This window comes from Homo sapiens, chromosome 1, assembly GCF_000001405.40.
Source record: "Homo sapiens chromosome 1, GRCh38.p14 Primary Assembly".
Lineage (NCBI taxonomy): Eukaryota > Metazoa > Chordata > Mammalia > Primates > Hominidae > Homo > Homo sapiens.
Window position 1 is genome coordinate 45,955,484 of NC_000001.11, and position 19,965 is coordinate 45,975,448.

Sequence of the window (19,965 nt, forward strand, 5' to 3'; positions counted from 1 at the left end):
GTGTGTTAGATGATGATAAGTGCTAGGAGAAAAATATATCAAGAAAGGGGGATAGAGAGTTTGGGAGGGTTTGCAATTTTAAATAGAATGATCGGGGAAAATTCACCCAGAAGATTGTACTTGAGCAAAGACCTGAAGGAAGAGGGGAGCAAGCCTTGAGGCAACCTGGGAGAAACATAGGCAAAGGAAATCCCAATTGTAAAGGCCCTGAGATGGGTGGCTCGCTTGGCATTTTCTAAGAAAGGCGAGGAGGCCGGTGTGGCTGGAGAGTGAGCAGGAGGGAGAGAGGTCATGGAGAATCCAGACCATATAATGCCTTGTAGGCCATCATCAGAACTGGCTTTTTCTCTCAGTGAGACAAGGAGAATTTTAAATGGAAGAGGGACATGATGTTGCTTACATTTTAAAATTTTTGTATAGTTTTATTGAGGTATGATTGGAATATAATAGATTGTATGACTGTGATAATGAACATGAAGATAATGAACAGATCTATAACTCTCAGAAGTTTCCTCATGACTATCTATAATCCATTCCTTGCTTCTCATTGGGCAACTACTAATCTGCAGTCTGTCACTATAGATTAGTTAGCATTTTCTATAATTTTATATAAATGGAATTGGATCAACTAAACAATTTGTCCTTGTGAGTCCCACCAGTGAAATTTCTTAATTGTGGTGGGTCAAATTCAAATTTTATTTTTTTAGTGGTTCTACTTTTGAGAAAATTTTTATTTCACCTCTCCCAATGGATAGATGTTTATTTCAAGATACATTGCAACCTATTGTCAACACTTCAAACCTGCCAATCATTGACTTCTTGAAGGAGTGTAATTTGTTATCTATGGCTCCTAAATGTTCCTCATATCACCAACCCTTACTGTGGGTGGTACAATGCCAGTATAATAAAGACAGCTATTCATGGAAATTTGTTCACTGCAATTGCCAATCAGCATGAGTCTGTCTTTGAAAGGATTATTTTTTCACAAAATCCAGCATTTCCCTGAATAAGTGGCTTCATCTTCCCTTGTTATGGTCTATGGAAGTCACAGAGAGAGCAACTACTGCTGTTACTGGAATTTCAGTCCATACTATGGTCAGTGTCCACAATTTCTGTCACAAAGTATGCAAGCATTACTTTGAACTACATCCGATACAGCTTAGTGGTTTAGGTCATTACTTGCAAATCAGTGAGTCCTGTTTTAGCCACGAAATCAAGTGTCACTATAGCCATGCTCTGGAGAGAGAAATAATGGGCTTTTGGTATGGTGGATACACCCATCAGCCAGCTATTGGTTATTTGGAAATTTTTGGTGACTGTTCTGCCCAAACCTTGCCACCTATTTTGCAGTGCCTAGTTGAGCACAGTTCATATCATCTCTTGGCATACATACCCAAAACATCTAGTGCTATTGAAATAAATGCAAAGCAAAGTGCAAGACCATGAGAGGAATTCGTCACAATGTGTTGGACTCGTATTTGGTCGAATTTATGTGGGATGATTGACTTGGAAATAATGTTTTCAATTCCCTTTTAGCGCATGTGTCAGAACAGTCTCCTGTTAAGTAACATTATGTTTGACTTTTGTTTTTAGTATATTTTAGTATAAATATCCAGGGACAAATTTTTTGATTGAATACACCTGAGAGGCAAATTGTTCAACTCATCCATGAAAGCATACAACATACTCTTTTTTGTCTGGCATCTTGCTTTCAGCATAATTATTTGTGAGATTCATCCATTGTGTGAATCAATTATTCATTCCTTGTTATTGCTGAGTAGAATTCCATTATATGGATATACTGTGATTTGTTTGTCACTCATCTGTTGGTGCATATTTTAGGTGGTTTGTAGTTTCGGGCTTTCACAAATAACAGCATATAAGTGGATCCTGCTATTTTATCCAGTCTGACAATCTCTGCCTTAACTGGCTGTGTACTTAGAACATTTATATTTAATATGATTATTGGTATGATTGGGTTTAAATATGTTATTTGTTTTCTAATTGGCCCAACTGTACGTGTTCTTCTTTTTCTGGCACAATCATTGGCTCACTGTAGCCATGAACCCCTGGAGTCAAGCAGTCCTCCTGCCTCAGTCACCCAAGTAGCTAGGACTGTAGGCATGTGCCAACATGCCCAGCTATTTTTTTTTAATTTTTATTTTCTGTACAGATTTGAGGAAGGAAAAGGGGTATTGGAGGTTTAAGGAGAAAATGTGAATTAGTTGTCTTGGAGAGTGAGCAAACACATTACTCTGGTAAATGTGCTAAGATTGTCAGGCAGTAATGAGGCCCCACTTGATGTTTGTCACTGTGAATATAAAGACACATCAGCCAGCATGATTCTGGGTTTTTCTTCAGTCACTCTAAGTTCCCAGGTGCAGTTGCAAAATAGATGGGAAGCTTGGTTGTAAAGGGTTGGGATTTCGCCAGGACTTTGGTGTCCTTGGGAGGTAGCAACGTTTCATTTGGAGCTAGAATTTAAAGCAGACACTCAGAAGAGAAATTGGGGATATAGGCAGTTTGCTGATGACATACTGAGTTCAAGGAGGCAAAGTATAAGCTTTTCTCAAAGGTTCAGAGTAGTGGGAGACTGTCAGGTTAGAGAGTGGAAGGCATTCCATGGTGACTGAGGTAGTTAGGGGTATGGGCATGATTGGATTCCTCCTGATGGTTTCTTAGGGGAAAATGGTTATCATTTCTAATGATAATCTCTTTCTTGAGATTGATCTCATTCCTTCCATCAGCCCTACAGAGTCTGGCTGTGGCCTTCCCCATAGCTTCTATAACCTACTTCTTTTTCTGTCATTCTCCCCTCCTGTCATCCACTCTTGACTTCTTTGCTATTTCTTGAACATCCCAAATTTGTTCTTGTCTCAGTGCCTTTACCTTTACTTTTCTCTCTGCCTCTCAGCTCTACTTTTGTCTGAGTCCTTCATATCATTCAGCTCTCTCATCAGACTTCACTTCCCTAGTTAGCACTCCCACACCAGTCTCTTATTTCCTTTCTCCTTTTCTCCCTCTCCCTCCCTCCCTCTCTCTCTCTCTCCCTCTATCCCCCTCTCCCCCTCTCCCTCTCTCTCCCTCTTTCTGTTCTTTCTTCCTCTTCCTTTTCCCACAGCACTGTTCACTCCAGTTATGAGGATAGAGACTGTTCTTTTGTTCCCTACTGCTTCCCTCCTAAGACACTGCCTAGTGTGTAGTAGGTGTTCAATAAATATTTGGATGAATATAAATGGCAAACTTCCCTAATGCCTTCAAAAGATAGACTGACTTTCAAATAAATTGATATAGACTTTTCAGTAATAGATGTTGCATGAAATGGCTTTTCATCACCATCTGGTTTTCTCCAACCAGAAGAAAAAGCTTCAGACATTAACATGTAGTGGAAAGCCCGTTTATAGAAGAAACCCAGGGCTGTTCTGACATTTATTCTGAAATGAGAATATTACTTAATTCACGGACTAAACGTTCTAAAAATAATAATTTCATAGATTAATAGTTTTGGGGGGTTCTTAGAGAATATGAGAATATTTTGACTTGTGCTTTTTATTTTGTAAATCAATTTGCAGTGGTCATTCTTCATTAGATACTGTTTAAAACATGGTTTTTGCCCGTAGGGAGCTCCTTGTGTTTGCTTGGGAAATAAAACTAAACATTGGAAAAGCACAGTGGCAATACAAGATGAAAGTCAAGGCAGTGAAAAAAGTTATTCCAAGGAGGAACACAGTGCTTTATGGAATCTAACTGGTGCCGAGTGTAATTGCTGACCCAGTTCAGTTTAAAGAAGTATACTGTGCGGCCCGTGGAATGGTGTCCCTCTTTAGTTCCTTAAAAACCACTCAAGGTCTCTGGGCCCATGGTGTGGCCCTATTATAATTCATATTTTGTTTTCATTGCAGTTGTCGGACAAGTAACCGCAAGAGCTTGATTGTGACCTCTAGCACATCACCTACACTACCACGGCCACACTCACCACTCCATGGCCACACAGGTGAGTGCTTGAAGGTTAAGAAAGGTTGAATGAAAGAGTGGCCACAGATGCCCAATTTCTTTCCTACTTCTCATGTTGTGCAGTTCCGTATATTACATTGTCACTTTACTTGGCTGACTGAAGCAGACAGAGCTCATGGGCTTGCTTTCTGTACGAGAATGAGTTAGCCTGCTTTTGACTCTTAGTTGTTTCTTACCTTGTTCTCTCAACATTCCTTTTAGTCTTGTACATATCTTGGGGCCAGGTATGTGTCCTGGGTTTATGGCCTCTGTTCTAGTGTGTTCTAGTGTGTTACAGCTCCATTCGTCTTGGGTCATTTGATGAGGAGTCCACTAATATTTTGTACTACCGTGCCCAAGGATTAGGGCTCACAGAGAGGGTTTTTCGTCTAATGGGACTCCTGTTAACCTTCCTGCTCTTAGATTAGGAGATAACAAAAGCAAGAGGAGTATGTGTTTGTTTGTTTGTTTTTAAATAGAAACGAGGTCTCTCTATGTTGCCCAGGCTGGTCTTGAAATCCTAGGCTCGAGTGATCCTCCCACCTCATCCTCCAAAGTACTGGGATTATAGGTGTGAGCCACTGCACCCGGGTTGGAGTATTTGTTTCATAATGATACTGATATTACATACTGGAATTAAAGCAAATGACCTCATGGATTCAGGCTGCTCTAGCCCTGGAATATGGGCTCTTCCCGACAGTATAAGGACTGATTTACATGGCTCTGAAGAATAGATAAAAATTATGAGGCAGCTGGGCACAGTGGCTCCCGCCTGTAATCCCAGCACTTTGGGAAGCTGAGATGGGCCAATTGCTTGAGCTTAGGAGTTTGAGACCAGCCTGGGCAACATGGCAAAACCCCGTCTCTACAAAAAATACACAACTTAGCTGGACATGGTGGTGTACACATGTAGTTCCAGCTACTTGGGAGGCTGAGGTGGGAGCATCGCCTGATCACCTGAGCCCATGGAGGTTGAGATCATACCACTGCACTCCAGCCTGGGCAGCAACAGAATGAGACCCCATCTCAAAAAGAAAAAAAGAAAAGAAAAGAAATACGAGGCTTCCATTGATTCTGGCACATTGTCCTTCCCAGAGAGGGGCAGAAGAAAGACCTCATCGGAGTCAGCCATGTGCTTCTGTGTAGAAGGTATATTCTTGTATCCCAGGGGAACCAGGCCACGGGACTCAGCTTTGCTGAAAGGGCTGCAGCACTTCTGTGCAGTTCATTGCTACACTCTTTATAATGGAAGATCTAAACCTACAGTTAGTGGCAATTGACAGACTTAGAACTGTTCAGAGCTTGCTGCCTGGGCATAGAAAGCCATGGTCACTGTTGTCCTAAGCCTGGACCTTGTCTGTCTTTGGGCGTTAAAGCAGGATATCAAAGCAGTGAAATGGGTCAGCATCAAGCTGAGTAAGATGTGTATATTCTCCATGAATTTGTTTCCTTGCTCACAGTTTACTGTCTTTGGAGGGAGAAAGTGAGGGTACATGTGGAGTATTTGAGGGTCCTGAGAGTCTGGTGATTCTGAAACTGAACTTTGTCCTTGGGAGAAGGATCTCACCTTCTTTGGCTCAGATTCTCTTAGCCTAGAAGCCAGCCTTTTAGTGTGATGATGGCCCCTTTCCAAGAATCAGTAAATCTCTCAATCACAAGCTGTCACTTTAGAAGATACCACCAAGAGAACAGGGATCCCAGGGAACTGGAGACATACTTGACCTTTAAAGCAAAGCTCTCATTGTGCTTAGGTGCTTTCCTCTAAAAAAATTGACTGAAATTAGCTGGATTAGCTCAAACAGCACATCCTAGATTTTTAGAGAAACTCAGCATACATCTATCTGACCTGACCTTTTTATCATATAGGAATAAATTTAACATGTCTAGACCTTGTATATAGTTGCACAACTAATGTGAGTACTGAGCAGTAGTTACTACTGGCTGCTCTTCTCTAGATGATTATCTCTCTATTTAGATTCTCCACAGTTAGCATTTAGAACTAAATCTTCCTACTCAAGTGGATTTGATTGAGAACACCACCTGGCCTTTTCAGCCTGCCTGGATCTGTAGACTCCAGCTTTGAGTTAATGTGTGTAACATGCTTAGTACTTTACAAATGTTAGCATCTGTATTATCTCTTAGCAAATCACTGCAGAAAATCTAGGGGGCAAGAATGGACATAAAAGCCCAGTTTGTGACTGTAGACTATACTTATCCAGCTGTTGAGACAGGCAGCACTGATTGTTCCACGCAGATCCCACATGGCATTAGATTATATCCTCAAATCTTTTTTTTTATAGATAATTTTATTATACTTTAAGTTCTAGGGTACATGTGCACAACTTACAGGTTTGTTACATATGTATAGATGTGCCATGTTGGTGTGCTGCACCCATTAACTCGTCATTTACATTAGGTATATCTCCTAATGCTATCCCTCCCCCATCCCCCCACCCCACAACAGGCCCCGGTGTGTGATGTTCCCCTTCCTGTGTCCAGTGTTCTCATTGTTCAGTTCCCACCTATGAGTGAGAACATTCGGTGTTTGGTTTTTTGTCCTTGCGATAGTTTGCTGAGAATGATGGTTTCCAGCTTCATCCATGTCCCTACAAAGGACATGAACTCATCATTTTTTATGGCTGCATAGTATTCCATGGTGTATATGTGCCACATTTTCTTAATCCAGTCTATCATTGTTGGACATTTGGGTTGGTTCCAAGCCTTTGCTATTGTGAGTCATGCCGCAATAAACATACAAGTACATGTGTCTTTATAGCAGCATGATTTATAGTCCTTTGGGTATATACCCAGTAATGGGATGGCTGGGTCAAATGGTATTTCTAGTTCTAGATCCCTGAGGAATCGCCACACTGACTTCCACAATGGTTGAACTAGTTTACAGTCCCACCAACAGTGTAAAAGTGTTCCTATTTCTCCACATCCTCTCCAGCACCTGTTGTTTCCTGACTTTTTAATGATCGCCATTCTAACTGGTGCAAGATGATATCTCATTGTGGTTTTGATTTGCATTTCTCTGATGGCCAGTGATGATGAGCATTTTTTCATGTGTCTGTTGGCTGCATAAATGTCTTCTTTTGAGAAGTGTCTGTTCATATCCTTCGCCCACTTTGTGATGGGGTTGTTTGTTTTTTTCTTGTAAATTTGTTTGAGTTCTTTGTAGATTCTGGATATTAACCCTTTGTCAGATGAGTAGATTGCAAAAATTTTCTCCCATTCTATAGGTTGCCTGTTCACTCTGATGGTGATTTCTTTTTCTGTGCAGAAGCTCTTTAGTTTAATTAGATCCCATTTGTCAATTTTGGCTTTTGTTGCCATTGCTTTTAGACATGAAGTCCTTGCTCATGCCTATGTCCTGAATGGTATTGCCTAGGTTTTCTTCTAGGGTTTTTATGGTTTTAGGTCTAACATTTAAGTCTTTAATCCATCTTGAATTAATTTTTGTATACGGTGTAAGGAAGGGATCCAGTTTCAGCTTTCTACATATGGCTAGCCAGTTTTCCCAGCACCATTTGTTAAATAGGGAATCTTTTCCCCATTTCTTGTTTTTGTCAGGTTTGTCAAAGATCAGATGGTTGTAGATGTGTGGTATTATTTCTGAGGGCTCTGTTCTGTTCCATTGGTCGATATCTCTGTTTTGGTACCAGTACCATGCTGTTTTGGTTACTGTAGCCTTGTAGTATAGTTTGAAGTCAGATAGCCTGATGCCTCCAGCTTTGTTCTTTTGGCTTAGGATTGTCTTGGCAATGCGGGCTCTTTTTTGGTTCCATATGAACTTTAAAGTAGTTTTTTCCAATTCTGTGAAGAAAGTCCCTGGTAGCTTGATGGGGGTGGCATTGAATCTATAAATTACCTTGGGCAGTATGGCCATTTTCACGATATTGATTCTTCTATCCATGAGCATGGAATGTTTTTCCATTTGTTTGTGTCCTCTTTTATTTCATTGAGCAGTGGTTTATAGTTTTCCTTGAAGAGGTCCTTCACATCCCTTGTAAGTTGGATTCCTTGGTATTATATTCTCTTTGAAGCAATTGTGAATGGGAGTTCACTCATGATTTGGCTCTCTGTTTGTCTGTTATTGATGTATAAGAATGCTTGTGGTTTTTGCACATTGATTTTGTTTCCTGAGACTGCTGAAGTTGCCTATCAGCTTAAGGAGATTTTGGGCTGAGACAATGGGGTTTTCTAGATATACAATCATGTCATCTGCAAACAGGGACAATTTGACTTCCTCTTTTCCTAATTGAATATCCTTTATTTCTTTTTCCTGCCTGATTGCCCTGGCCAGAACTTCCAACACTATGTTGAATAGGAGTGGTGAGAGAGGGCATCCCTGTCTTGTGTCAGTTTTCAAAGGGAATGCTTCCAGTTTTTGCCCATTCAAAACTGGCTGTGGGTTTGTCATAATTTATTGAGAGTTTTTAGCATGAAGTGCTGTTGAATTTTGTCGAAGGCCTTTTCTGCATCTATTGAGATAATCATGTGGTTTTTGTCTTTGGTTCTGTTTATATGCTGGATTACGTTTATTGATTTGCGTATGTTGAACCAGCCTTGCATCCCAGGGTTGAAGCCCACTTGATCATGGTGGATAAGCTGTTTGATGTGCTGCTGGATTCAGTTTGCCAGTATTTTATTGAGGATTTTTGCATTGATGTTTATCAGGGATATTGGTCTAAAATTCTCTTTTTTTGTTGTGTCTCTGCCAGTCTTTTGTATCAGGATGATGCCGGCCTCATAAAATGAGTTAGGGAGGATTCCGTCTTTTTCTATTGATTGGAATAGTTTCAGAAGGAATAGTACCAGCTCCTTCTTGTACCTCTGGTAGAATTCAGCTGTGGATCCATCTGGTCCTGGACTTTTTTTGGTTGGTAAGCTATTAATTAGTGCCTCAATTTCAGAGCCTGTCATTGGTCTATTAAGAGATTCAACTTCCTCCTGGTTTAGTCTTGGGAGGGGGTATGTGTCGAGGAATTTATCCATTTCTTCTAGATTTTCTAGTTCATTTGCATAGAGGTGTTTGTAGTATTCTCTGATGGTAGTTTGTATTTCTGTGGGATCGGTGGTGATAACCCCTTTATCATTTTTTATTGTGTCTATTTGATTCTTCTCTCTTTTCTTCTTTATTAGTCTTGCTAGCAGTCTATCAATTTTGTTGATCTTTTCAAAAAACCAGCTCCTGGATTCACTGATTTTTTTGAAGGGTTTTTTTGTGTCTCTATCTCCTTCAGTTCTGCTCTGATCTTAGTTATTTCTTGCCTTTTGCTAGCTTTTGAATGTGTTTGCTCTTGCTTTTCTAGTTCTTTTAATTGTGATGTTAGGGTGTCAACTTTAGATCTTTCCTGCTTTCTCTTGTGGGCATTTAGTGCTATAAATTTCCCTCTACGTACTGCTTTAAATATGTCCCAGAGATTCTGGTATGTTGTGTCTTTGTTCTCGTTGGTTTCAAAGAACATCTTTATTTCTGCCTTCATTTCGTTATGTACCCAGTAGTCATTCAGGAGCAGGTTGTTCAGTTTCCATGTAGTTGGGCGATTTTGAGTGAGTTTCTTAATCCTGAGTTCTAGTTTGATTGCACTGTGGTGTGAGAGACAGTTTGTTACAATTTCTGTTCTTTTACATTTGCTGAGGAGTGCTTTACTTCCAACTATGTGGTCAATTTTGGAATAGGTGCGGTGTGGTGCTGGGAAGAATGTATATTCTGTTGATTTGGGGTGGAGAGTTCTGTAGATGTCTATTAGGTCCACTTGGTGCAGAGCTGAATTCATTTCCTGGATATCCTTGTTAACTTTCTGTCTCGCTGATCTGTCTAATGTTGACAGTGGGGTGTTAAAGTCTCCCATTATTATTGTGTGGGAGTCTAAGTCTCTTTGTAAGTCTCTAAGTTAAGGCCTTGCTTTATGAATCTGGGTGCTCCTGTATTGGGTGCACATATATTTAGGATAGTTAGCTCTTCTTGTTGAATTGATCCCTTTACCATTATGTAATGGCCTTCTTTGTCTCTCTTGATCTTTGTTGGTTTAAAGTCTGTTTTATCAGAGACTAGGATTGCAACCCCTGCCTTTCTTTGTTTTCCATTTGCTTGGTAGATCTTCCTCCATCCCTTTATTTTGAGCCTATGTGTGTATTCAGTATTAAATATCTACTACATAAGTAGGTTACAGTGTCAGTAATGTCAGTTCAGTAGGTACATACCCAGCCATTCGAGAAATGGAAACTCCCTACCTTATTTTTTTTTTAATTATTTCTTAGAGTAGTTTTAGGTTCACAGCAAAATTGAGGAAGATACTGAGATAAACCATATACCCCCTGCCCTCACCTATATATAGGCTCCCCATTATCAGCTCCCTACCAGAGTGCTACATTTGTTACAGTTGATGAGCCTACACTGACACATCACCCAGGCACTAGTTTACATTAAGATTCACTGTTAGTGGTATACATTTTGTGTGTCTGGGCAACATTATCATTTACCATTATAGTATCATACAGTCTTTTCACTGTCCTAAAAATTATCTGTGCTCTGCCTATTTATTTCTTTCTCCCCTTAACTCCTGGCATCCAGTAATCTTTTGACTGTCTCCACAGTTTTGCCTTTTCCAGAATGTCATATAGTTGGAATCATACAATAGCCTTTTCAGACTGGCTTCTTTCACTTAGTAATACGTACTGAAGTTTCCTCCATGTCTTTCCATGGCTTGATAGCTCATTTCTTTCTGAATAATATCCTGTTGTCTGGTTATACCACGGTTTATTTTTATCCACTCACCTACTGAAGGGCATCTTGGTTGCTTCTAAGTTTTGGCAATTGTGAAAAAGCCGCTATAAACATCTGTGTATAGGTTTTTGGGTAGACGTTAATTTTTAACTTATTTGGGTAAATAAGGAGCACAATTGCTATATTGAATGGTAAGAGTGTATTTGATTTTGTAAAAAAAAAAAAAAAAAAAACTCTTCAAGCTGGGCGTGGTGGCTCACGCCTGTAATCCCACACTTTGGGAGGCCAAGGTGGGCAGATCACTTAAAGTCAGGAGTTCAAGACAAGCCGGGCCAACATGGTGAAATGTCGTCTCTACTAAAAATAGCCAGACATGGTGGTGTGCACCTGTAATCCCAGGTACTTGGGAGGCTGACGCAGGAGAATCGCTTGAACCAGGGAGGTGGAGGTTGCAGTGAGCCAAGATTGTGCCACTGCACTCCAGCCTGGGCAAAAGAGTGAGACTCTGTCTCAGAAAAAGAAAAAGAAAAACTCCCAGGCCGCCTTCCAAAGGGGTGGTACCATTTTACATTCCCACCAGCAGTAAATGAATAGCTCCTGTTGCATCATATCCTTGCCAGCATTTGGTGGTGTCAGTGTGTGGATCTGGGTCTTTTTTTTTTTTTTTTTTTTTTTAAGGCAGGGTCTCACGCCATCATTCAGGTTGGAGTATGGTGGCACAGTCACAGCTCAATACAGCCTTGAGCTCTTAGGCTCCCAGATTTTGGCTATTCTAATCTATGCGTAGTTGTATCTCATTTAATTTTCAATTCCTGGCGGAGCACGATGGCTCACACTTGTAATCCCAGCACTTTGGGGAGGCCCAGGCAGGCTTTTTTTTTTGAGAGAGAGTCTCACTCTGTCACCCAGGCTGGAGTGCAGTGATGCGATCTTGGGTCACTGCAACCTCCACCTCCCAGGTTCAAGCGATTCTCCTGCCTCATCCTCCCGAGTAGCTGGGACTACAGGTGTGTGCCACCACACCCAACTAATTCTGTATTTTTAGTAGAGATGACGTTTCATGTTGGCCAGGCTGGTCTTGAACTCCTGACCACAAGTGATCTGCCTGGCTCAGCCTACCAAAGTGCTAGGATTACAGGCGTGAGTCACTGCACCTGGCCTTGCATATAACTTTTGACTGCCCCGAAATTTAACTACTAATAGCCTGCTGTTGACCAGAAGCCTTACTGATAACATAGTTAATTAACACATAATTTGTATGTTTTATGTATTATATACGATACTCATAACAAAATAAGCTAGAGAAAAGAAAATTTGTTAAGAAAATCACTGGAAGAGAAAATATACTTACTGTTCATTAATTGGAAGTGTATCATCATAAAGGTCTTCGCCTCATCATCTTCACATTGAGTAGGCTGAGGAAGATTAAGGATTAGTCTTGCTATGTCAGGAGTGGCAGAGGCAGAAGAGGTGGAGGAGGTGGAAAGGGATGCAGGAGTGGCAGGCATACAACTTTTACTGAAAAAATTTGTGTATAAGTGAACCCGTACAGTTCAAACCTGTGTTGTTCAAAGGTCCACTGTAATCCAAATCAACCTTCAAATACCACTATACCACTTTGCCTTATGATGGCAAAATACACCTAAATCCTCTCTTCAGTACCTTGTAATTTTGCTGTCATTCATTTCACTTATATATAAGCACATGTGTGTACGTGTGTGCATAATGTATGTAAAAGCATACCTAATCACATACATTGTTGCTGTTACAGATTAAGCACCCCCAGTCCAAAAATCTGAAATCCAAAATGCAAAACTTTTTAAGCACCAACATGAACCTCACAGGAAATGCTTGTTGGAGCCTTTTAGATTTTGGGCTTTCAGATTTGGGATGTTCAGCTGGTTAGTATAATGCAAATATTTCAAAATCAGAAAACAAATTTGAAATTTAAAACACTTCTGGTCTGATAAGGGATACTTATCCTATATTATGTTGAACAGACTTATCTATTAGACAAATTAAGAATAAGAAAAACAAGTTTTTAGTTTACCTTCATCACTTCTCCAGTGTGCTTGCTTGTTTCATGTAGAGTTCACTTTCTCCCCTATATAATTTTCTCTCTGAACAACTTCTTTTAACATTTCTTGCAAGGCAGATCTACTGCTATAGAATCCCCCATTTTTTGTTAGGGAAAATCTTTATTTCTTCTTCACCTTTGAAGTATAATTTCACAGGGTACAGAATTTTAGGTTGCTTGCTTGGTTTTTTTGTTGTTTTTTTTTTTTGTCTCTCAACAGTTTTAATATTTCACTCCACTATCTTCTTGCTTGTGCGGTTTGTGAGAAGTTGGATGTAATTCTTGTCTTCGCTCCTCTGAAGATAAGGTGTTTTTTCCCTCTGGCTTCTTTCAGATTTTTGTGTACCTTTGGTTTTCTATAGTTTGAGTATGATATGTCTAAGTGCAGTTTTTTTCTGAATTTATCCTGCTTGGTATTTTCTGAGTTTCCTGAATTTATGGCTTTGTGTCTGACTTTAATTTGGGGAAATTTTATGTCATTATTGCTTCAAATAATTCCCTTCCTTTCTCTCTTTTTCTTCTTGTATTACTGCTGCATACGTATCACACCTTTTGTAATTGTCTCACAGTTCTCGGATGTTCTGGTGTTGGTTTTTTTTTTTTCGGTCCTTTTTTCTTTGCTTTTTAGTTTTGGAAGTTTCTGTTATCATATCCTCAAGATCAAAGATTATTTCCCCAGCAGTGTTCAGTCTATTAATGAGCCCATCAAAGGCATTCTTCAGTTCTGTTACAGTGATCTTTAACATTTTCTTTTGATTCTTCCTTAGAATTTCTATTTATATTATCCATCTGTTCTTGCGTGTTGTCTACTTTTCCCATTAAAGTGCTTAGCATAATTAATCATCGTTTTGAAAAATTCCTAGTCTGATCATTGCAACATTCCTGTCATATCTGACTCTGGTTCTGATGCTTTTTCTGTCTCCTCAAACTATTTTTTGCTTTTTAGTGAGCTTTGTAATTTTTTTGTTAAAAGGTGGACGAGATGAACTGAGTAAAAGTAGCTGTGATAAATAGGCCTTTAGTAATGTATTGGTAAGGTGTAGGGGAGGAGAAGTGTTCCATAGCAGGGATCCGCAACCCCTGGGCCACGGACCGGTACTTCTCATGGCCTGTTAGAAACCAGGCCACACAGTAGGAGGTAAGCGTCAGACAATCAAGTGAAGCTACATTTGTATTTACAGCCGCTCCTTATCACTCACATTACCGCCTGAGCTCTGCCTCCTGTCAGATCAGCTGCAGCATTTAGATTCTCATAGGACCATGAACCCTGTTGTGAACTGTGCATACAAGGGATCTAGGTTGCACACTTCTTATTAGAATCTAATGCCTGATGATCTGTCACTGTCTCCCATGACCCCCAGATAGGACCATCTAGTTGCAGGAAAACAAGTTCAGGGCTCCCACTGATTCTATATTATGGTGAGCTGTATAATTATTTCATTATACATCACAGTGTAATAATAATAGAAACAAAGTACACAATAAATGTAATGTGCTTGAATTATCCTGTAAACCCCTTGCCTCCCCACTTCCTGGTCCATGGAAAAATTATCTGCCATGAAAACAGTCCCTGGTGCCAAAAAGGTTGGGGAATGCTGTTCTATAGTCTTGTGACTAGGTCTCAGTCTTTTGATGAGCCTTTGTCCCTGGACTGTGAACTTCTCCAGTGCTTCTCAGTATTTCCCCCACACCATAGCTGGGACAGGATGGTTCTTGGCTGCTGGAATTGGGTATTTCTTCCCCCAAGTAGAGCTGGCATTGATGAAATCCCAGCAAGTTAGATGCAAACAAAATAGTTTCTCCCAAGGACAGGCTTGTTAAGAACAGAATGCTCCGGCGCGTATCAAAACAGTTCCTTTTCCCTCCTCCTGCTGGAATCATGAGATTTTCTTCAGTAATCACTGTGAGGATCCAGTAAGGCTCCTTTGGATAAAACTTACAAAAATTTGGGAGCCCCCCCATGACTAGATCCCCCTGGAGTTTTTAACTCTCAGCATAATCCACACTGAGCTTCCAGCAATTCCTCAGTTACAGTTCAGGTCTTCCTGCCCTGGCACTGGTTGCTATGGAGGTTTCTGCTTAAGAATTTCTGCTCCTGCCGGGCACGGTGGCTCACACTTGTAATCCCAGCACTTTGGGAGGCCAAGGCAGGCGGATCACGAGGTCAGGAGTTCGAGACCATCCTGGCTAATATGGTGAAACCCTGTCTCTACTAAAAATACAAAAAAAAAATTAGCTGGGTGTGGTGGCAGCTGCCTGTAGTCCCAGCTACTCAGGAGGCTGAGGCGGGAGAACGGCTTGAACCCAGGAGGCAGAGCTTGCAGTGAGCCCAGATCGCACCACTGCACTCCAGCCTGGGCAACAGAGGAAGACTCTGTCTCAAAAAAAAAAAAAAAAAAAAAAGAATTTCTGCTCTGGTAAGTTGTACCTCACTGTGTCTGCTGTCTGTCTGTCCAGTTTTGGGGGCAGTGGTTCATCCTGTGATGTCACTTCGCTGACAGACTAAGAAGTGTTTTTTTTTTTTTTTTTCTCCTCCAGTTTGTTCAGCTTTTTACTTGTTAAAACAGAGTGGCAACTCCTAAGCTCTTTACATGCCAGGCCAGAACTGGAAGTCAGTTTATTTATTTTTATAACTTGTAGAGTATTTCATTGTATAACTGTACCACAATGTATTCATTTTCTTATTGGTGAATATTGCATCAGTCTAGGCCCAATCAGGAGACAGATAACAGACAAGCGATTTTAAAAAGTTTTAATAAAAGTAATACAAACTATGACAATAAGAGCCTAACTTCCATAGGCTACCATAGAGCTGAAGGAGAGTTCTCAAGGAAGAACTAACTTGGAAGGAGGATTCTCTAGGCTGGATTCAGGACTTGTTGTAGTTGCAGCCCACTGGATGTAGTTGCAGCCCACTGGATGGCAGAGATGTTTTCTGGTTTGCCCAGACCAAAGCTGGTCCACAGTTACTCAGCAATCAGGGAATAGCCCTCTGGAGCACAGGTGAGTCTCAGCCAGTGGTCAGGCCTAGAGAGAGAAAGTAGAGGTGCTGCTGTGAGCACTTTGTGTCCTCAGGAAGGACGTGAAAGACAAATCCTGGGGGTCGGGGTGTTGAGCAAGCAAACAGAGAGAGTCAGTGGGGACAGGCCTGGAGCACACAGTATCTTTGTAGGTAAGGCTGTGGAAAGGTGTCTGTGTGATTGGGGCAGAGCAACCCACATATCCACGTTCCCACACCACTGACTGATAATGCAGTTGCTAGAATTAGCACCAAGAGCCTGTTCTTTCTGCAGTGTGCCTCCAATACCCTCTACTGAGAAAGTTTAACATCATGCTCACTGTAGAGGATAGATGATGCTTAAAGGAATTCTCTTCTTTATCTCAGAGCAGGTATTGAAGGATTAATTTGAAGCTTAGTGGCATTAAATTGATAACCAGCATAGACATTTAGATTGTTTATACTTTTCCACTATTATAGTCATCAATGCTACAGAAACATCCTTCTTCATATTCTTTTTGTATATATGTACACAGACTTTTTCTGGCATATATATGGAGGCATGGAATTGATAAGTCTTGGAATAAACTGTATAAATTTTTAGGAGTAGGATCAATAGGTCAGGAGGCATGCATATTTTAATGTTGTTTGTTACATATCATCTAATTGATTTTACATGAGTATTCTGGAACTAAGAGTGTGCCTTCCATAAAAGCATTCAGTCCCTATCATTCAAGGTCAAGCTCAAGCCCTAGTGTCAAGCAGGAAGATCCAGCTGCCAATTCCAGGTGAGGACTCCTGCTGCATGGAAGATGACTAAGATCGTAATAATGCCAGCCGTCAGTAGGAGTCCACAGACCTCGGCCCACTGCATCTTCTTTGGGTTTGAAGCTGTCAAGGAGGACTCAACATTCAGCACACTGGTTGGAACAGCATTTCACTCACAGAAAGGACAGATACAACAAGATCAGAGTCTGTGATGTGCACCAGTGGCAAAGATCCCATTCCATCCTGTGGTGGGCAGATACACTGGTGGGGCTGGCCGTGTGCCACATGCCACACACACTTAAGCAATACAAAGAAGTTTACTCCATACCCAGAAGAGGGGAAAAGTTTCTGCTAATAAGGAAGAAGAATCTGTGGCCAAGTGACAGCTTGCCACACAGCTTCCTTATGAGGGAAAGTTTTAGACCCAGGCCACTAATTGGGTAGTCTTGGAGAGGGGTGGCAGGTCATGTGACGGCTACATCCCTTACAGCCAGTAATCCATCCCTCTTTACTCCCTGACACGTATAGACTCCTCACCTCTATCTGCATTGAATCTATTTGGGCTAATTTCATTATCCCTTACTCCTGTTTATGCCCATTGCCACAGGAACCCTCAGGTTACCCGCACCCCATCATCTACATGCTTAATTCATCTAAACCTCTGAACATTCCCTGCTCTGTCTTATCCCTCCCTGACTCTGGAAACCCTTCCAGTGTACCTTTTGGAATTCCAGTTCTTTATCAGCAAGATCTGTCTCGTAATCTGTTCTCTAAACATTCTTTCTTCTTCCTGTTCTAGTGGAATCATAGGGGAAGAGGGAGAGCTTAGAACACTGATTATCTGCAGACTACTCAAGTGTTAACCCTTTTCTCATAATCTCAAAGCATTGGGTCTAGTAGTAAGGGTAGATGTCCTCTGTTTTTTCATTATTTTCACTGTCTTCTCCCTAATCTCCCCAAACTTAGAATCTTACATATCATTAATTTGTATCATTTAGTACCTATCATTGCAGCTGTAAAACTCTTCATACATTGCAATTGTAAAAATTTTAGCTCTTGACTCCAATTACTCTCTTCAGTTCTACTCCTGTATTATTCTTTTTTTCAGTCTGTTTGTGAGCTGTAATGTGTTATTCTTGGTGGTTTCGATACACCCGTAGTTGATAACTCCAGTTCTTAAGACTTTCTGTTCTTTGAACTCCTGTCTTCCAGTGAACCTCTCCACTACCCTACCTCAATCACTTATGCCCTAGATCTGTACTTTAGACCTTGTCTCCATAATTTCAGTTTCCTTCTTCCTGCTCTCTGAGCACCACCTCTAATCTTTCTATAGCTTGTGTCATCTAGAAACCCCACCTTTGAAAAACAGTCATTTGATCCTGGGACCTTTAATCCTTGGGAACCTTCGATAACTATATTGAGATGTCTTCCAGACATCTGTGTGAATAATTCAGTATGTTTGTCTTGATTTCAAGGAAAAAATAGGGCTAGAGATACAAATGTTGGACTTTCACCATATAAAAAGATCTTAAATCTGTGTGTCTAGATGTCATCACCTAGGGAGTGAACATAGACAGAAAGGACTAAAGGTACAAGGACTGAACCCTGGGACATTCCAGTTTTCAGAGACCAAAAGAATGAGGAGAGACCCAAAAGGAAAGAGGAAAACTTAGAATATATAGTGTCCTGGAAACCACATAAAAAGAGTATTTCAGAAATAGCATGTGATCACCTGAGCCAAATGATATAGACAGATCAAGTGACATGAAGTCTGAGTATTGCCAGTGGGATGTAGCAATGTAATGTCAGTGTTGACATTGATTAGCTGTTTTGATGGAATGGTGGGGGCAAAACCTAATTGGTGAGTCAAGAAAGAAAGGGAAAAAGAAAATGGAGATAATAACTAAATAATTTGTCAAGGAGTTTTGCTGTTAGAGCAGAAATGAAATGCAAAGATGGGTAGAGAGATCAAGAGAGTTTTCTTATTTGAAAAAAGTAACAGTGTCTATGTACATACACTGATGGAAGTGATTCAACAGCAAGAGAAGATCTGATAATGCAAGAGAAAGGAGAATGGCTGGCACAGTGTCCTTCTATAGTTGAGAGGGGATGGGATCTAGTAAATAAGCAGTAGGTTAGCCTAGCTAGGAGCACAAACAGTCCTTCTCTAGGAATAGGGGAGGATGTGGGGAATACAGTGCAGATTATGGCTGGGTAGATGTGGTAAAGATAGCTTATTGAAGTTCTTCTCTGATTAGTTGAGGCCAGGTGCTGTGGCTCACGCCTGTAATCCCCACACTTCAGGAGGCCAAGGCGGGAGATCATGTCAGCCCAGTAGTTTGAGACCAGCCTAGGCAACATGGTGAAACCCCATCTCTACAAATGATACAAAAATTAGCTGGGCATGGTGTTGCATACCTGTAGTTCCAGCTACTTGGGAGGCTGAGGTGGGAGGATCATCTGAGTCTGAGGAGTTCGAGGCTGCAGTGAGCTGTGATTGCACGGAACTGTGATTGTGATTTTGAGAAAGAGCAAGACCCTGTCTCAAAAAAATATTTTTTTCTCACTAAAATGGAAAGTGAGGTGATTAGCTGAGCCTGAAGAGAGAGGATAAAGTATGATACAGTCTTTTAAAAGGATGGGAGAAAGAGTACACTAAGAAGTATGGTCTGATTTCCAGTAGTATGAAGAGCCAAAGTTAGTGATCATACACATAAAGTGAGACTAGTCAGCTTTTCTATATGACTTTCTGAAACTTCTCAGGCTAGGATTTTGGAAAGATTGTGTGAAGATACTGAAATTACTCCTGACAGAAGGCATGATAAAAAGAATGTGAGTGATACAGGAATAAAATCCTTAAAGAGTGAAGGGGATTTCCCAAAGGTTTGTATGTGACTTTTAGCAAGGAGGAGTAATGGTTGTTGTAGTCTGATGACATCATTTCAAACCTGGGTGTTTTTATGGAGAACAGAGGGAGAATGCCTGAAGATGAAATGAGCCAGCAGGATGTCTACCCCACCTCTAGGTCTAGTGGTACAAAGGGCATGTGAAATCCAACAGCCATCATTTGAGAGAGCTGCCAAGGAAGCTGCATCCACAGGGGACAGTCAAGTTGCAACCTGTTCAGGGTATGTTAAGGGCTGTACTAAATGTGTGTCCAGGGTGCTTGGGAGTACAAAAGTAAAGATTTGTAACCCAAGCTAGTCATTAAGCAAGGTGTTCTTTTTGGAGGTAGCTCATTGAATGAGGTAGAAAGCTCATTCTAAGATCCGTATGAAATAGAATTATATGATTAGGAAATTAACAGTCCACAGCATTATAGTTGCCTGGATACGATGGCTCACTCCTGTAATTCCAACACTTTGGGAGGCCAAGGTGGGAGGATCACTTGAGGTC

At 40.9% G+C, this 19,965-nt stretch overlaps 1 protein-coding gene across 34 annotated transcripts in view; it reads left to right on the forward strand.

Moving 5' to 3' along the window:
- Positions 1 to 19,965, forward strand: part of MAST2 (microtubule associated serine/threonine kinase 2) — a 232,511-nt gene that overhangs the window by 151,872 nt on the left and 60,674 nt on the right. For all 34 annotated transcript variants that reach the window (XM_011541059.3, XM_011541069.3, XM_011541061.3 and 31 more), the window contains one exon: positions 3,903 to 3,994. In XM_011541059.3, coding sequence (XP_011539361.1) covers positions 3,903 to 3,994 — 92 coding nt within the window. The remainder of the gene's footprint in view (positions 1 to 3,902; positions 3,995 to 19,965) is intronic.